This window comes from Homo sapiens, chromosome 9 (assembly GCF_000001405.40).
Source record: "Homo sapiens chromosome 9, GRCh38.p14 Primary Assembly".
NCBI lineage: Eukaryota > Metazoa > Chordata > Mammalia > Primates > Hominidae > Homo > Homo sapiens.
Genome location: NC_000009.12, coordinates 34602809 through 34620600, shown reverse-complemented (window position 1 = coordinate 34620600; position 17792 = coordinate 34602809). Strand labels below are relative to the sequence as shown.

Sequence of the window (17792 nt, the reverse complement as noted above, 5' to 3'; positions counted from 1 at the left end):
CGGCACTGAAGGGCTGAATCATGGCGTCACTTCCTGCATAAAGGGCCGCTCGTGCACTCGGATTGGCTAGCCTTCTTATTTGGACTGACGTCCCGCCCTCTGGCTGTTTCCTGGCCGAGGTGGGTCGGTAGTAGCGATGGCGGGTCTGACTGACTTGCAGCGGCTACAGGCCCGAGTGGAAGAGCTGGAGCGCTGGGTGTACGGGCCGGGCGGGGCGCGCGGCTCACGGAAGGTGAGTAGTCTGGTCCGGTAGTCCCTTTCTGGAGCAGAGCAAGAGCGGTCCACTGTCCTGGCCCTCGGGATGCAACCGCTCCAGTCCTGTTCTCCGCAGCCCGGCCTTTGAAATAACAAAGGTCCGGGACCTCCCAGAGCTGATTGGACCATCGGGGTCCACTGTCATAGGGGGCTCTGCGGGTGGTTAAGCCAGCCTGAGAGTGGGCTCCGTACCTACTGTAGCTGAGACTCCGCCCTTGCCCTCGCGAGCTATAGTTGGGGAGACCTGACACGAGAAGCTGACTAATGAGAGTTTCAATAAGAGCTGAAGTCCACGATAGGAAGGCCCGTCATAGAGCCCTGCATAATTAATTGCTAAATGAATTGTGCAGGAAGAGGTCCATGGGACCCCTGGGGAGGCAGAGCAGAGGTGGATAAGGAAAACGCCAAAGGGTGAGAAGTGAGGTCTGAAAGGACCAGGATTAGGAAGGGAAGAGACTGGGTACTGGGTATTCAGATGTGGACTAGCACTGCTTTATACCAGTGACAGAATTTTGACAACTACGAAGCTCAGGTGCCCTCTCCTCCCCTTTCTACTATGGGAAGATCTTTTATTGAAGAACTTCTGATGGCGTGTCAGGCATGTCCTGGAGCTAAGTGCGTCCAAGGTAATGATGTCTGTTTGTACACTAAATGAGGAATTAGTTGTCACTAGCAGACTGTGCTCCCATTTCAGAACTAACTTCTCAAACATTCTCTTCCTTTGGGATCTATGACGCTGACCCTCCTGGTTTTCCTTCTACCTCTTACGGCTGCTTCTCAGTGTTATTTGCCTCCCCCCTGGCATTCCTCATCCTCTACCCTAAAAACTGGGTGAGTGCAGTCACTTCCTTAGTCTCCTCCTCTATTTGACCCTTTAATATTGGGATTCTTTACATTCTACCCCTAAACTTTAGGTAGGCTCACTCGCTTCCATGGTGTCAATTACTATTTACATGTCAATATGTCTCAAATGTATATCTCTGGTCCAGATTTCTGTTCTGAGAACCAGACTTTTATGTCTAGTTGTCTACTGGACTTTTCCACTTGGATATCCAATAGTCATTTCAAACTCAATCTGTATGCCCTTAACTGTACTCTTTCTCTCCCCTAACCTGATTCTCTTCTGTATTCCCTAATTCAGTGATTGCACCATCATTGGGATCCCAGTTGTTTGGACTCTTCCATCTCCCACACCAAATTTGATGTGGAGGGGATAGGGCTAGAGGTAGGCCAGCCAATCTAGAGGTCATGAAGGCTTGAATGAGGATGCTTGTGTTTCTCATGCCCAAACCCAGGACTTAGGAACCAGAAAATATATTGTGTATACTCTATATTCCATAGACTCTAAAATAGTTCGTTATCTTCCCCATCAGACTTGAAACTCCCCAAGGAGTACATGATTCTCTCTCTCCACTTTAAGGATTCCTGGAAGGTGGGGCTGCATCTCCTTTAATATTAGAGAAGGGAGGCCAACCTAGATTACTGGGATTCAGGTTTGAGAGTCTGGGAGAATGAGGGTTCTTTAACTTTTCCAAGCCTTGAGCCAGGTAGTATATCTTGGAATTAACCACCACTTCCCTTACAGGTGGCTGACGGCCTGGTCAAGGTGCAGGTGGCTTTGGGGAACATTTCCAGCAAGAGGGAGAGGGTGAAGATTCTCTACAAAAAGAGTAAGTGCTTCCATGATGTGCCTGCCTGCCCGACATCCCACCCCTCAGCTTCCTGGTACCTGGCCCTAGCCCTTCAGTTCATTAGGTCACTGGAATAGCCCTTTGGGGATAGAAAGATTATGAGGACATTTACCTACACCCAATTCAATTGGTAAATTGTGGTGTGCTTTTCTACCTTGTGGCTAAACCTCAAGCCCATGACAGTGTCCTAAGTTATGAAATAAGAGCTCTACCTGAAAGCTTCTCTTGGTGAAGGAGGGTAAAAAGGGTATGGGATTTCCCAGGCAAGGTTAAGGGGCAGGAAACAAATTAGACACTGAGATCCTGGTTATGTCAGAACTAGTAACCTGCTTAGTAACTAGAAATTAGACAAAGCTCTGGCTTGTCTCGGTGACATCTAGGAGAAAAGAGGCCTTCTACCCTTGGTGAGGATAGGTCAGTGAGAATGCTAAGGGCCCAGAGTGGTGGTGGCAATTGTGTTTTCAGCTCTGAAGCTTGATGTCAGAAGAGACTTCAAGAGAAGAGAGTGGAGAGATAGGGAAGTGGGGATAGGGAGCCTGGTGGAGCCCTGCTCATGTGGCACTGTTGGGTATCAGCTCCTCATTGAAGGCTCTCCTCAAGGCTGACCACTTGTCAAACATCCTTCATAAGGCAGAGCTCTACTGCCCAACCCTATTCCATTTTCCATCTTGCTACTTTTCTAGTTGAAGATCTGATCAAGTACCTGGATCCTGAGTACATCGACCGCATTGCCATACCTGATGCCTCTAAGCTGCAATTCATCCTAGCAGGTAATGCTGGACTACATGTGTACATGCATCTGAGGATGTGGGTCGTCGGGGAGGTTAAGCACAGAGATGGCCTCTCCATCCAGTCTTCTGGTGGATACAAGCCCTGGATGCTGCTCTCTGGAATTGTGGCCTGGTTCTGGGTTGAGGATCCTATGGATCCTCTAGTAGACATTGAGTACAGTATACCTCTGCACCAGCTGCAGGCCATGGTGCCAGCCACAGTGGGAGCTAGTCCAGTGTTCTATCAATAGTTTGCCTCTTGGATTTTCCTTCAGAACCTTCCTCACTTCTGCTCACTAGACAGAGGAGCTTCTAGGAAAGGGTAGGGGCAGAGAGCATTGCCATTAAAGAACAGAGAGAGTATTGGCATGAGTTTCAACATCTTTCTTTCATGTGAGAAAGCTCTGCAGTGTCAGAGTTCTAGGCAGGAACTATTGCCTTGGCAATGTCTGCTAATCAGTCAGCCATTCTATAAGCTAGGGTTTTTTGAGCTTCGTTATTCATCCAAAAGATGTATAATGATCATCTACTCTGATCCAGGTTCTTTCCTAAGTGAGGAAGCATACAGTGGTGAACCAGAAAGTCCCTGCCCTCATGGGCACAGCCAGAGCTAGGGGAGACAGGGTCCCTGCTTCAGGGACCTGAGCTTATAACCCAGATGGGAGATCAGTCTCCCAGGAGACTGATCAGTGCAATGCAGCACTGAGGACTGGGTAAGGATGGGCCACTCCTGCTAAAAGGGCTGTCAGAGTTCCCAAAGGGCTCTTGGTCAATTGCCATCGCTCAAGCACCAAGTTTAGATATTCTCCTGCACTGACTCTTGAGTCCAGCCTCTCCATCCCTCCCTGTGGCACTGCCTCAGGAATTGTGCATCCACTTGCATATGAATGGTTGCACAGTCTCCTAAATCATACTCTTGACCCTAATCTTTCCCTTCCTGCATGTGGTTCAGTCTCACCCTCACAAAAACATGTTCCCAACATGTCACTTTGCCTACTTTGGAACCTCAGTGTATCCTGCCTTGCTAGGATAAAGTCCTAATTCCATAGTCTGCCATTCAAAGCCTTTCAGTCGGCCGGGTCTACCCTCCCATCCAACTCTGTTTCCTGTGCTCTCCCTACTCCAGTTCAGCTAATTGAATTCTTTCTCCTCTACTAATTGACAGGCATTCCTGCCTCTAAGCATTTGCACGTAACAGTCCTCTCTCTTGAATACCCTTCCCACTCTATGGATTTCAGTGCATTGAAATCCCGTGTGCATACAGGGCCTAGCCCAGATCCTGCTCTCCTCACTGGACTCTTCCATTACTGTCCCAGCTCTCCTCCAGCATATAATTGTCTATGCCTCTGAGAGCCACTGAGCAGAACCTGCCTGGCGTAGTCTGCCACATATCTCTTTTAGACCTTCCTGGGGACCCTTGGGTGTGGGGATCCAAGTCTGAAGTATTTTGTATTTTGTGGCCTAGGAGGTGCTCCCTGAGTTTGTTGATAGGAGGCTAGAAGAAGAGGTCTTGAAGTTAAACCTTGGAGAAAGGTGGGATTTGGAGAAATTGAGAGGCTCATTAGGCTCAGATGGGTCAGACCTGAGGCATCCAGGAGAGTTGGGGGCAGGATGGAAATGTGCACCTAGAGAAGGGGGCAGTGGACAGAGTCACTGTCCAAAGCTCTAGGACCTAGCCATCTCCCTTGCCAGGTCCTCAGGCCCTTACATGGGCTGATTAGCAATGCCCAGGTTTGCTTCACTGCAACTATCTTGTCCATTTTTGCTTTAGAGGAGCAGTTTATCCTTTCCCAGGTTGCACTCCTGGAGCAGGTGAATGCCTTGGTGCCCATGCTGGACAGTGCTCACATCAAAGGTATCTCTCTGGGGTTATAGCTTCACTACTCTGGTTGGGGAGGTAGGTGGATGGATGGGCAAGACTTTCCTGTGTTTCAGGTTGTGTGGATTCGGGTTGGGTCTGTTCCTTATCTTTTTTTTTTTTTTTTGGACAGAGTCGTACTCTGTCACCCAGGCTGGAGTGCAGTGGCATGATCTTGACTCACTGCAACCGCTGCCTCCTGGTTCAAACAAACTTCCCACCTTGCCTCCCAAGTAGCTAGGATTACAGGTGTGTGCCACCACACCTGGCTATTTTTAGTAGAGACGGGGTTTCACCATGTTGTCCAGGCTGGTCTCAAACTCCTGGCCCCATGTGATCCACCTGCCTCGGCCTCTCAGAGTGCTGGGATTACAGGCGTGAGCTACTGTGCCTGGCCTGTTCCTTATCTTTATCCTCACCCTGAGGTACTTGCCACATCCACCAATTAAAATTACCAGGATAGAGAGCCCAGTTTTAGGACCTCAGGCAATTTGGGCCTGAGAACACTAGCCTAAGCTCTAGCAGTCCCCAGCTCTGGGGATTCCTTCTGCCTTCTACCTACCCCCAAGCATCTCTTCTTCAAGGTGCTGCAGAACCCAGATTTTACTATCAGAGTCTCTGCCAGGTCCATGAATGTATGTGAATTCTTTCTGCTGCACTGCTGAGAGCAGTCCCTGGGCCTGGACTTTGACAAGCAGATAGTGGCTTTAATTGAATCCAGATATCCATCTTGTCTGTCTGTGGAGGTATTTTTCCCAGCTCCCCCTCCCTACCCCTGATCAGCTGCCCGCTGAGTATCTGACAGCCTTAAGCTTTGAGCCCAGCATGGTGGCCAAGCCTTGGCGTGTTGGATTCCAGCTTAGGGACCTGGCATCCATCTTCAGACTCCCTGTTCCCTAAGCCAGGCAGACCTGCCCCCGCTGGGCTGAGAGCAAAGGGACAGGTCCTATAATAGCCAAAGCTCTCTTTACCTGGTCCTGCTTATAGCACTGGGGTGGGGGTAGGGAGCAACACTGGGAACCCCAAGGTTTTGTCTTCTCCTCGGGACATGTATCTTCCCCTCCCCTATGGGTCCTGGAGTAAGACTGGAGTGGGCAGGGAGCCCCACTGCCACCTCCAGCTGCAGCAGTCGATGAAGTCTGGCGTTTGTTTAGCTTCTCCACTCAATACTCTAATCCTGCCAAAGACCTAATAGACTATTGAGCAGTCCCGGGGGAGGGCACAAGCATCATCCAGCAGTGTGTGTTGTGTTTTACAGCCGTTCCTGAGCATGCTGCCCGCCTGCAGCGCTTGGCCCAGATCCACATTCAGCAGCAGGTATGGGAGGGGAGATGACTAGAAGCGAAGATGGAGGTGGCGCAGCACCTCATCCCAACTCATGCCACCTGGGGAAGCAGCTTCAGGCCTTTCTGTTGTAACCTCAGCAGAAACTTTGGGGTTTATCCTTTATCTTGCATATGCCCCAGGGAGGTAAAGGGACTTGCCTAGGTTCATGTACAAACTTTCTGCTTCCAGAGCAGGACTTTATTGGGACACCATAAGGTTGAGGCTGGGAGGTACCCAAGAATTCCTGGGGATGGTATGTCATTGACTGTGGGTAGAGGGGCTCTTTTTTCACTATTCCCAGGCCCTAGTGTAAAGTTCAAAGAGAGTTCAGAAATAAGGACAGAAGAAGAGACATACACTAGGGGGAATGTTTACTTAATGTATGGCCACTCCCTTTTCCATCCGTCTTTGGACTGCTGTTAGGGCACCCATCCTGGAGCCTGAAAGTGCTCCCATAGCCATTTGCTCCTTTGGCTTTGGGGTTAAGCGTCATCTTTTTTAGGCTCCATGGGGAGTGGGAGTCCGTGATGAGGCAGGAAGTTTAGTGGAAGATGTGGGCTTTGCCCAGTTCCTTTCTGTGCTACACTTTGGCCCTACAGGACCAGTGTGTGGAAATCACTGAGGAGTCCAAGGCTCTCCTGGAGGAATACAACAAGACTGTATCCTTTCTGCTCAACTAGGACCCTAATGGGTGCTGTCCCTAAGCCCTGTCCTTTTGTTCCACCTCTAGCTCTCTCTCATCCTATCCTACCCACCTATGTTTGCCTGTTCCCCACTTTCCATGAACTTCCTCACTCAGATTCCTATTCTCACCTTGACCTACAACCAGACAATGCTTCTCTCCAAGCAATTCGTGCAGTGGGATGAGCTACTTTGCCAGCTAGAGGCCGCCACGCAAGTGAAGCCAGCAGAGGAGTGATAGCTGCTCCCCATCCCAAAGTGGGCCTGGGCAGTCAGGCTCCAGGGCCCTATGCCAACCTGCCTTTGTTACAAGGCAGAGGAAGCTTTGTATTTATTGGCTTCAAGGCCCACCTCTCTGTACTCTGGGCTCTAAAGTTGGAGGTCAGGTTACCTGAGGTTTGCAATTTGCAACACCCACCCTCCCCCCAATCAGTGTTCTTATTTCAGTGACAATAAACCATAGAGATGACTGGAGGAGTGTGCTGGCTTCTTGGTCTAGGATGGAGGTGGTAGGGGGCAGAGGTGTCAGCCTGCCTAATCGTTTGACTGGGAACTAAACTCATCCTGGTCTGGCTTTCTGGCAGGTGTAGAGCTCTCAAAATGAAGGCTCTCATTTGATTATGTGAATAGGATATTCCTTTATGTATCCATTTATCCCACATTTACCAATAAGAGACCTCCAAATGTCAGATGATGGGAGTAGATAGGGCTAATCCCTGCCCTGCACGGGCTAGCAGGATAGACAGTAAAGGAAAAGGGCAGTCCTATCAGGTGGACACAGAAGAAAAAAGGGACTGAAGGGACCTGGTAAGTGATATCCAGGGACTTTCAGAGCCAAGGGAGCAGCATGTGCAAAGGCCTTTAAATTTCTCTCTTGGGAGCCTACCTGCTGCCACGAGCCGAGAAGGGCAGCCTAAGAGGTTTGGATGCAGGAAGTTTTGGTCCTGGGGAGGGGAAGTTGGGAAGTAGGGGCGCTGGGGCAAGCATGTTGAGAAACAGATTGGCACCGTAGTCCACCAAATGTTTGCTGCCCCCTTGTGGTCTCAGGGAGTGCTCTGGCTCCAGACCCTTTTTCCAACGGCCCATTGGCCGCCCCGCCTTTGCGACCTCTCCGGCACCTCAAATTCAGCGTGTCCAAACCGATCTGAAACCTGGGAGTCACCCTAGATCGGAATTTCCTACTTCTCCGTCCAAACAGTGGCCAACTCGTCACTGAACCTACTAGTATCTCCCAACTTAATCTTTTTTCCATTCCCACCGCGATTTCTCTGGTTCATTAATGTAACAAATCATTTAACAAATATTGAGCGCCGGTCATACGCCAGGCACCATACTAGGCTCCGTGGGCACCCCCGCCCCCTCAGCCCCCAGACTCCGCGGCAGGTGTCGTCAGGGGCTGTGGCCCGATTTCCCCACCACTCCCTCCTCGGCTCCCTGCACAAGATCTGGTTCGACTGGCCCCTGGAAAACCCGGAAAACCCCCGTGGTCCGCCAGCGCCCACAGGATGAGGTCGAAGCTCAGAAGTCGGTAACTAAGGCTCTCGCCCATGCAACAGCAGCCACTACAAACTGAAGCCTTTGTTCGCACCCACGGTGAAACCCACAGCTCCCCGTTTGCTCAACAGCTAACGCCAGCCCTCCCATCTTCTAAGGGCCAGATCCCCCTCCTTCAGACGCAGGACTTCCCCGACGGCCGCTCCTTTCTACCGCAGGGAACTGTCCTGCCTCCCTCCGGGGCGTAACAGCGGAGGCTGCGCTCGTGTTCCCATCCCCGCTGGGACTGGTCCGGGGCGCTCTGGCCAGCGGGTTGTTTCCGCGGCGGAGATGCCTCGGGGCCCGTCCCTCACGCCCCGCCCCTCACGCCCCGCCCCCTCGGGGCGTGCGCGGCCCCGCGGCCTTAGTGCGCTCCGGGCCCGCGCGCCATCTTGGCTCCGGATCGTGCGTGAGGCGGCTTCGGTGAGAGCCGGAACCGGGCGGGCAGAGGGGCGCTCGTAGGGTTGGGGGACGCCTGTGGCTTGGCTGCAGCGGCCGGCAAGACCCTGGAAGAGACCGTGGCTATGGAAACGGCCAAGGCTGTCTTGGAATGTCCTGAGCAGCCCTCCGAGTCGAGCCTCTGCCCCCGAGTTTCTGAGTGACCTGGGTTGATATAGATTGACCTTGGTAATCTCTGGGAGAGGGGATCCGTTCTGTTTGGGGGCAGCACTGGATAAGGGTTCTTGGCTGTTTCCCGGGGGGCCTGGGGCGAAGGGCCTTGTCCCTGTCCTTGTAGAGCCCCAAGTGAGGAGCGCTCTCTATTGGTATTAGTCTGGGGTGAGGGTTCCAGGCCCTGTTCCAAGGAGCCCAGGATAAGGGGGGCTAAGCCCCAGTCCTGGAGAGTTTAGGATGAGGGGGCCTGGCACTTTCCCAAAGAGCTCAGTGTTTGGGGAATGTGATCCTGCCTCTTGGACTCCAGGATTGGAGGTGGGGGTGTTATGGCCCTTGTAGAGGAACGGGGTGTATGGGGTACAGCCCTTTCCCAGACTGCGGCAGGCATGGACCTTGTCACGAGATGCTAAGGACAAGGGGACATGATCCTGTTTCTGGGAAGTCTGGAACGGGGAGCAGGGCCATATCCTGGATGGAGATAGGGGATGGTGGACAGTGACTTGGGGCACATTGCTTAGCACTTACCTGATGCTTCCCTGCAGTGGGCAGCGAGAGTCACAGACAAGACAGCAAGCAGGATGGAGCACTACCGGAAAGCTGGCTCTGTAGAGCTCCCAGCGCCTTCCCCAATGCCCCAGCTACCTCCTGATACCCTTGAGATGCGGGTCCGAGATGGCAGCAAAATTCGCAACCTGCTGGGGTTGGCTCTGGGTCGGTTGGAGGGCGGCAGTGCTCGGCATGTAGTGTTCTCAGGTTCTGGCAGGGCTGCAGGAAAGGCTGTCAGCTGCGCTGAGATTGTCAAGCGGCGGGTCCCAGGCCTGCACCAGCTCACCAAGCTACGTTTCCTTCAGACTGAGGACAGCTGGGTCCCAGCCTCACCTGACACAGGGCTAGACCCCCTCACAGTGCGCCGCCATGTGCCTGCAGTGTGGGTGCTGCTCAGCCGGGACCCCCTGGACCCCAATGAGTGTGGTTACCAACCCCCAGGAGCACCCCCTGGCCTGGGTTCCATGCCCAGCTCCAGCTGTGGCCCTCGTTCCCGAAGAAGGGCTCGAGACACCCGATCGTGAAGACCTGCTGAGCCAGCCTGTTCTCCGGGCCTGAATGTCTGGGGTGCTTGTGCCTTTTCTGAGAAGCGTTGTGACTGCTCAACATCCCCATCAAGGTTTGAGTCCACAAAAGTGGACCTCCCTATCATGCTTCCCCTTCCCTCTAGCATGTGGGAAGGGACTGCTGTGAAGAATGACAGATGTGGGGCCTCTGCCAAGTTCTGCATTGCTAAATAAGGGCTTCCTCTGCCTTCTACCTACAGTGCATTTGAACTGCCTTCTGAAAGAGGTCCAGGGAGGGATTTAGGAAATAAAGTTTCTACCTATTTGATGAGCCTCTACTCAGCCTGCTATGTGGAGTGGGATTAAAGAAATGGGAGTCCCCGCCCTTACCCCGGGGGGCTGATCGGGTGAAGACAGAGGAAGAGTAGTAGGCTCAGGCCGGTGCTGGGAGAATATAGTGTCTACAAGAAGCCTCAGTCAGTACTGAATATATCTAATTCCCTGGATAGTTATTTGCCCCTGCTTTGGCCTGGTTTAGGAACACTGCCAGGTCAGACATTTCTCTCCATCTGCAGCATACAGTATAGTATAGTGGTTGTGAGCATGGACTCTGGTACCAACCTGCCTGGGTTTCAATCCTGGTCTGCCACTTATTAGCAAGTTACTGCTCTGTGCCTTAGTGGTCTTATCCATAAAACAGGAATACGATAGTGTTTATCACATAGGATTGTTATGAGATTACATAAGGAAATATACATATATGACATTTAGATACCACACTGGCACATAGTGCTATTAAGTGTTAATTGCTATTATCGTTATTAATGACTTACCTATCCCAAATGCAACAACTGTCTCACACCTCCTTCCCTCCAGCTTCCTTGCCCCAATCTCAGCTATGGAGCTGGACTCTGCTTTGAAGAGACAGAGGCCTTTCGAACTCCCTCATGTTCCATCTTCACCTCCAGACCTGTCTGTATACACATTTATCCTCAACTCCACTAGTTTGCAAACATGCTTTTTCCTGTCTTAGAATCATATCTTTGGGTTGGGCACAGTGGCTGATGCCTGTAATCCCAGCACTTTGGGAGGCTGAGGCAGGAGGATTGCTTGATCCCAGGAGTTGGAGACCAGCCTGGGCAACATAGTAGGGAGACCCTGTCTCTACAAAAACATCTAAAAATTAGCTAGGCATAGTGGTGTGCACCTTTAGTCCCAGCTACTTGGGAGGCTGAGGCAAGAGGATCGCTTGAGCCCGGGAGGTTGAGGCTGCAGTGAGCCATGATTGTGCTACTGTACTTCGGCCTGGATGACAGAGTGAGACCCTGTCTCAAAAACAGAAAACAGGCTGGGCGCAGTGGCTCACACCTGTAGTCCCAGCACTTTGGGAGGCCAAGACGAGTGGATCACTTGAGGTCAAGACCAGCCTGGTCAACTTGGTGAAGCCCCATCTCTACTAAAAATACAAGAAATTAGCTGGGCGTGGTGGTGCATGCCTGGAATCCCAGTTACTTGGGAGGCTGAGGCAGGAGAATAGCTTGAACCCAGGAGGAAGAGGTTGCAGTGAGCTGGGATTGCACCACTGCACTCCAGCCTGGGTGACAGAGCAAGACTCTGTCTCAAAAAGACAAAACAGGCCAGGCGCGGTGGCTCAAGCCTGTAATCCCAGCACTTTGGGAGGCCGAGGAGGGCAGATCACGAGGTCAGGAGTTCGAGACCAGCCTGGTCAACATGGTGAAACCCCCTCTCTAGTAAAAATTAAAAAATTAGCTGGGCATGGTGGTGCGCGCCTGTAATCCCAGCTACTTGGGAGGCTGAGGCAGGAGAATCGCTTGAACCCAGGAGGCAGAGGTTGCAGTGAGCCAAGATCACGCCATTGTACTCCAGCCTGGGCAATAGAATGAGGCTCCATCTTAAAAAAAAAAAAAAAAAAAGGCCAGGGGCGGTGGCTCACGCCTGTAATTCCAGCACTTTGGGAGGCCGTAGCGGGCGGAACACAAGGTCAGGAGTTTGAGACCACCCCAACCAATATGGTGAAACCCTGTCTCTACTAAAAATACAAAAAAAAAAAAAACCAGGCGTGGTGGTGGGCACCTGTAATCCCAGCTACGTGGGAGACTGAGGCAGGAGAATTGCTTGAACTCAGGAGGCGGAGGTTGCAGTGAACCGCCACTGCACTTCAGCCTGGGCAATAGAGCGAGACTCCATCTCAGAAAAAAAAAAAAAAAAGCCAGGCATGGTGGCTCATGCCTGTAATCCTAGCACTTTGGGAGGTGGAGGCAGGCGGATCAGGAGGTCAAGAGATCAAGGCCATCCTGGCTAACACGGTGAAACCCTGTCTCTACTAAAATTACAAAAAATTAGCCGGGTGTGGTGGCGGGCGCCTGTAGTCCCAGCTACTCGAGAGGCTGAGGCAGGAGAATGGCGTGAACCCAGGAGGCAGAGCTTGCAGTGAGCCGAGATTGCGCCACTGCACTCCAGCCTGGGCGACAGAGCAAGACTCCATCTCAAAAAAAAAAAACCTCAATCCCACATCTCTCTCCAGGTCTCATCCTTGCCTTTTATTTATTTATTTATTTTTATTTATATATTTTTTGGAGATGGAGTTTTGCTCTTGTTGCCCAGGCTGGAGTGCAATGGCATAATCTCAGCTCACCGCAACCTCCGCCTCCCGGGTTCAAGCGATTCTCCTGCCTCAGCCTCCGGAGTAGCTGGGACTACAGGCATGCGCCACCATGCCCGGCTAATTTTGCATTTTCAGTAGAGACGGGGTTTCTCCATGTAGGCCAGGCTGGTCTCGAACTCCCGACCTCAGGTGATCCACCCGCTTTGGCCTCCCAAAGTGCTGGGATTACAAGCGTGAGCCACCGCGCCCGGCCACATCCTTGCCTTTTTTCCCTTTGCTGCTCCTTTTCTGCTTTGCCTTGGCCTTAAACTCTCAGGGTCGGGGGCATGAGAAGAGAAATGAAGGTTGCATCAGTAGCAGGGGGTGCTGCGGGAACTAGAGCAGGATTATGGGCAGTAGTGAACTCTGAAGAATTGAATCAGTTGGATCTCCCATGGATCTTGAGATTTTCTCCAATGTGTCCAGCAGCCTGGGTGTCCAGTCATGAGGAAAGCAGAAGGTTGGGGTTCTTCTGGGCTCACATTGTAGTAGAATGGGCCCAGCAATGTAAGGATGTTGCAGTGATACTTAACTGAGACCAGGCAGGAGGGATTGAGAAGGAGAGGGAATTGGAGGACTGAAGCCCTTGATAAGGGCTTAGAGGAGGGGTGAGGTGACCACAGGGCCAGCAGGCAGTTTTCAAAACTGTAAATACTGCATCCTTTGCTTTCAAAGATAGGTTAGCTCTGAGTGATGTGGAGGACCCTGGGGGAGGGGTAGGTGATGGGGATTCAGAGGAGATTAGGAGAGAAAACCTCAGTGGCTGCCGAGCAGGTCTCTCAAATGCACAGGGTCGTGAAGCATCTAAAACACTCCTAAAGGCAATTATGGCTGCAGTGGCAGTGACTCAGGTGTCTTGCTGCCAGCAACTGACTGACTTCCCCCATTCTCCTTGCAGCTAATTCAGGAATTTTGTTCCCTCTCAGCTTCTGCATACCGCTTTTTCTCTGAACATCTTCACTTGTGTGTCTTCTGCCATCAGCAGTTCTCTGAGTATCATTGGAACTCCAGAGCTTTGAGGCCAGGCCACCTTGCAGACTATTGACCTTTGGCTGATGATCTCATCCCATCTGCTGATGGCCAGGGTGGAGGGATCACATATAATAATTATGGTGATCTGTGCTGAAGGTGGCATTGCGAGCTCTGGAGTCCCAGGAGGGGCATTTTCTCTCCATCTTTGGTCTCTACGGGGCCCAGCTGGGGCCTACAGGAGGAATGGCAGGGAGGGGACCAGAGGCATGAGCCCTTTGGAGTCAGAAAGGCTGACCAGCTTTACAAGAGAGCACAAGAGTTGTGTCTAGTTCTGTCCACTTTCTCCTTAATTCACTGCAATGTGGCTTCTGCCACCATAAGGTCACGTCTTGGCACAAAAGGTAAGGAAGTAGAGACAGCTCTTTCAAGAAATTGGATTGTGAATGGGTAGAAAGGGGTGATAGATAGCAGGAGAGGAATGTGGAGTACAGAGAGTGTTGGATTTTGTTTTTGTTGTTGTTGTTGTTGTAGTTTTTAATATACTAGCAGAGACTTGAGCATGTTTATAGGCTGACAGACGAAGAAGCCAGTAGGGAAAGAGATGAAGGATGCAGGAGATTGTGGATAACTCACAGCATGAGGTTCCTGAGCAGGTAAAAGCAAATGGGATCCAGAAGCATGGAGGTAAGGGCCTCCCCAGGGAAGAGGAGGGATGACTTCCTGTAACAGGAGGGATGGAGTTGAGGACAGATATGTGTGCAGATAGGTCTGGAGGTGAAGATGGGACATGAGGGAGTTCAGAAGGCCTCTTATCTCCTCAAAGCAGTAGTCCAGCTCCATAGCTGAGAGTGGGGCAAGGAAGCTAGAGGGAAGGATGTGTGAGATAGTTGTTGCAGTTGGGAGAGGTGACTAGGGAGAGGTGACTAGAAGAGGTACAGGATAATGACCAGGCAGGGCTAAAAGCCCAGTGTAGGCTGGTGACCATGAACTTGTAGGGTCATTGGTCAGGGTGTGTGAGCTCTTAGCAGCACCCACAGGATAGGTGAGGACTCAGAAAAAGCACAGATGCATTCTTCCAGACTGACTTTAAGACAGGTAGGAATGAGGGAAGATGCATGAGGAGACTAGCAAGAGAGTACATGTAGTGAACGACCAAGGCATCCAAACTGGGCCAGGAGGGAAGTGAGGGAAAAGGGACAGGAGTCAGTGGCCTGGAGATCCCCATGAAGATGGGGTGGAGTGAGATGGACTATCCTAGGACAGGAACGTTGTAGCTATATGGTTTCCTAGGCAGCCGTAACAAAGTGCCACAAACTGGGGGGCTTAGAACAACAGAATTTATTGTCTCACCATTCTGGAGCTGGAAGTCTGAAATCAAGGTGTTGGCAGGGCCACACTCCCTCTGAAATCTGTGGGGGAATCCTTTCTTGCCTCGTCCTGGTGATTTGCCAGCATCCTTTGGCATGCTTGACTTATAGGTGCATCATGCCACTCTTCACGTGGCATTTTCCCTGTGTCTCCACCCCATCTTCCCTTTTTGTGTGTCTTTGTATCCAAATTTCTTCTTTTTGTAAGGACACCACTTATATTGGATAAGGGCCCACCCTATGAACTCATTTTAATTTGACTATCTCTATAAAGGCTGTATTTCTAAATAAAGTCACATTCTGAGGTACTGGGGATGAAGATATCTATAAATGGTTTTGGTTGGGGGGCAATGGGAGTGGAGGGCACAATTTAACCCATAACCACAGCTAAAGGATGGGAAGGTATTAATAGGGTTGAGGGTTTTTGGAGCTGATAGGATTTGTGGGCATGAGAGTGGATGGCTGGAGGGTCTGGAGACAGAGACACGGAAGATGAGCTGGTGAGTTGAGGCTGGGAAAGGTGAGGTGGGGAGCATTCTGGTCGGCAATGGAGTCATCCAGGATGGAATGCGTTGAGCATTCTCACTACCTGTCTTAGAGGTGGCATGTCTAGCCACCTTGTGTTTGTTCCCTTGAAATGGGGACATCAGAACACAATATGCCTGGAGGAGTTATGTGCCTCCCATATCCAAGCAGGCACCAAGTTCTGCCCATTTTGCCTTCTAGGTCTCCATCCCCAAAGCCTCTGTTGGTTTGTGCCACTCATTATCGCTCAGCAGTTTCCATACTCATCGCTGTGCTTCACTCCCCTTGGAGCTCTCCCCCAAACCAAGCCACTGGCTATTCCCTTTGTTTAGAATGCTCTTCCCCCCATACTTGCATGGTTATCTCCCTCCCTCCTTTAAGTCTTTGCTAAAATGTCACCTTCATGAGGCCTACTCTGGCCACTTCATTTAAAATTGCAGTCCAGCACTTTCGATCTTCCTTACCCTGCCTTTCCCCCACTCCAGTTTTTCTTAACCTCTATGATATTTACGTCTTTAAAATAATACTTTTGTTTATTGTCTCCTCCTGATGAGAATGTAAGCTCCAAAAGGGAAAGAATCTTTGTTTCATTCCCTTATGTAACCTAAGGATCTTGAACATCACTTGGCACATAGTAGGTACTCAATAAATATTTAGTGAGTAAATGAATGAATATTGAGCCACCCGCCCCCAATATGGGGCCATACTCAGATCTGACCTTGTCATTCTTCTATTCCCTTAGCCTCCATGCCAAGATTAGAGGACAGGATCCAAGTTCATTCACTACATTCACTAGATGTTTGGTTTTTGTTTCTTTTCCTTTTTCTTTCTTTCTTTCTTTTTTTTTTTTTGAGATGGAGTTTTGCGCTTGTCACCCAGGCTGGAGTGCGATGGTGCAATCTCAGCTCACTGCAACCTCTGCCTTCCAGGTTCAAGCGATTCTCCTGCCTCAGCCTCTGAGTAGCTGGGATTACAGGCATGTGCCACCACGCCCGGCTAATTTTGTATTTTTAGTAGAGACAGGGTTTCTCCATGTTGGTCAGGCTGGTCTCGAACTCCTGACGTCAGGTGATCTGCCCGCCTCAGCCTCCCAAAGTGCTAGGATTACAGGCCTGAGCCACCGTGCCCAGCCCACTGGGTGGTTTTAAAGGACCCCTTTGCTTGGCCCCTGCCCATGGCTTAGTCCGTCTTTGGCCTTGTCCTGTTGGACCCTAGGCTCTGACCACAGTCACACTTCCCAAGTGCCATAAGATTTTCTGCCTCTGAGTCTTTGTTCTTGTCATTCTGTCTGCTTGGAACTCATCAAGAATGTTTAAAGGACACAGGTGCTGGCCTCTGAGCACTCCCTTGGGACCTACTACCTCCCCACTCCTTACTGTAATACTTGTCTGGTCCAGCTCTCACATTGATAGGTGATGTTCTGGCTACACTCACTTCTGGCTGTGGCCACAAGGTGGCAGCATTTGCAAAGGGATAGCCCATTCCTTTCCAGGGTCTGTGCAGAGGGCCTCAGGAGTCCCAAGACACAGAGACTTGAAATTTGATCCTTAATGGGCTCAGTGACCCCTCAGTTATTCAACAAACAGCTGATGATCATCCACAATGTGACAAATATAGTCACTGGGCTTGGAACCTCCAACCCCAAGAGGGCTATAGCCACATATATAATTTCCCTATGGAGGCTGGGCGTGGTGGCTCACGCCTGTGGTCCCAGCACTTTGGGAGGCCGAGGCGGGCAGATCATTTGAGGTCAGGAGTTCGAGACCAGCCTGGCCAACATGGTGAAACCCTGTCTCTACTAAAAATACAAAAATTAGCCGGTGCTGATGGTGCACGCCTGTAATCCCAGGTACTTGGGAGGCTGAGGCAGGAGAATGGCTTGAACAGAGGAGGTGGAGGTTGCAGTGAGCCAAGATCCAGCCACTGCACTCCAGCCTGAGCAACAGAGTGAGACTCCATTTAAAAAAAAAAAAAAAAGTTTCCCTATGGTGTGACAAGTACACAGATTAGGCAGGTTTACTGCTGCATGAGTTCAGACAGAGCCCGTATTCCAACTTTTAGAGACACACAAAGATTTAAAGAAGAGAAGGTGATACCTCTGTGGAATCTTGAATAGCTTAGGAGAGAAGTGGGCATGACATTCCAGGTGAAGGGAAGCGATAAGCCAAGGCATAGAGGCAGCATAGAGATGATCACTGGAGCATGAAGTTCAAGGCAGAGAGTAAGGGATGAGGCTCAGAAGTGAGTGGGGGTCAGACAGAGAGGCCTGCAAGCCTGGCCAAAGGTGCTTGGACTCTATCTTGAGGGAGATGGAACGTCACTGAAGGCTTCAAGGTGGGAGTTCTGTGGAATATCAGATTGTGTTTAGAAAGAGAACTCTGGCTACAATGTGGAGAGTGGATTGCAGTACAGGGCAGGAAGAGCAGTGAGAAAGCTGCTGTAGGGATCCAAGGGGTAGTCAGTGAGGCCAAAATTATAAGCAGAG

At 51.0% G+C, this 17792-nt stretch overlaps 2 protein-coding genes across 7 annotated transcripts, besides 4 other annotated features; both read left to right on the top strand.

Moving 5' to 3' along the window:
- Window positions 1-105: 105 nt before the first annotated feature.
- On the top strand, window positions 106-7055 carry DCTN3 (dynactin subunit 3). Of its 5 annotated transcripts, none has more exons than NM_007234.5 (7): window positions 106-232; window positions 1841-1925; window positions 2630-2716; window positions 4488-4571; window positions 5833-5891; window positions 6500-6559; window positions 6730-7055. In NM_007234.5, exons 1-7 carry the CDS (start codon window positions 137-139, stop codon window positions 6817-6819), a joined length of 561 nt encoding a protein of 186 aa, NP_009165.1. In that variant the 5' UTR covers window positions 106-136; the 3' UTR covers window positions 6820-7055. The 5 variants fall into 5 exon arrangements, with proteins under 5 accessions (NP_009165.1, NP_001268355.1, NP_077324.1 ...); NM_001281426.2 differs by having other exon boundaries at window positions 6469-6559; NM_024348.4 differs by having other exon boundaries at window positions 6403-6559.
- Window positions 7703-7752: an enhancer, noted in NCBI's record as "active region_28312". NCBI's record gives its function as "activates an Ori minimal core promoter by ATAC-STARR-seq in GM12878 lymphoblastoid cells {active_cell/tissue: GM12878}" and the evidence as "EXISTENCE:reporter gene assay evidence [ECO:0000049][PMID:35858748]".
- Window positions 7880-7929: an enhancer, noted in NCBI's record as "active region_28311". NCBI's record gives its function as "activates an Ori minimal core promoter by ATAC-STARR-seq in GM12878 lymphoblastoid cells {active_cell/tissue: GM12878}" and the evidence as "EXISTENCE:reporter gene assay evidence [ECO:0000049][PMID:35858748]".
- Window positions 8330-8569: a silencer, noted in NCBI's record as "silent region_19850". NCBI's record gives its function as "represses an Ori minimal core promoter by ATAC-STARR-seq in GM12878 lymphoblastoid cells {active_cell/tissue: GM12878}" and the evidence as "EXISTENCE:reporter gene assay evidence [ECO:0000049][PMID:35858748]".
- RPP25L (ribonuclease P/MRP subunit p25 like) lies at window positions 8504-10106 on the top strand. 2 transcript variants are annotated; one of them, NM_148178.3, is made up of 2 exons: window positions 8504-8537; window positions 9269-10106. In NM_148178.3, the coding sequence occupies exon 2, from the start codon at window positions 9305-9307 to the stop codon at window positions 9794-9796; it is 492 nt and encodes a 163-aa protein (NP_680544.1). In that variant the 5' UTR covers window positions 8504-8537; window positions 9269-9304; the 3' UTR covers window positions 9797-10106. The 2 variants fall into 2 exon arrangements, with proteins under 2 accessions (NP_680544.1, NP_680545.1); NM_148179.3 differs by having other exon boundaries at window positions 8504-8741.
- Window positions 9033-9586: an enhancer, noted in NCBI's record as "H3K4me1 hESC enhancer chr9:34611012-34611565 (GRCh37/hg19 assembly coordinates)". NCBI's record gives its function as "activates a minimal SCP1, AML or CMV promoter by ChIP-STARR-seq in naive H9 embryonic stem cells {active_cell/tissue: H9 hESC(naive)}" and the evidence as "EXISTENCE:reporter gene assay evidence [ECO:0000049][PMID:30033119]".
- Window positions 10107-17792: the final 7686 nt, after the last annotated feature.

Excerpts from the sequence above, each read along its gene's own strand:
- DCTN3 (NM_007234.5), top strand. The coding sequence starts at position 137 with ATGGCGGGTCTGACTGACTTGCAGCGGCTACAGGCCCGAGTGGAAGAG. Across the intron at positions 2,717-4,487 it reads GCTGCAATTCATCCTAGCAG|AGGAGCAGTTTATCCTTTCC; the intron begins GTAATGCTGGAC and ends TTTTTGCTTTAG. Across the intron at positions 4,572-5,832 it reads GGACAGTGCTCACATCAAAG|CCGTTCCTGAGCATGCTGCC; the intron begins GTATCTCTCTGG and ends TGTGTTTTACAG.
- RPP25L (NM_148178.3), top strand. The coding sequence starts at position 9,305 with ATGGAGCACTACCGGAAAGCTGGCTCTGTAGAGCTCCCAGCGCCTTCC.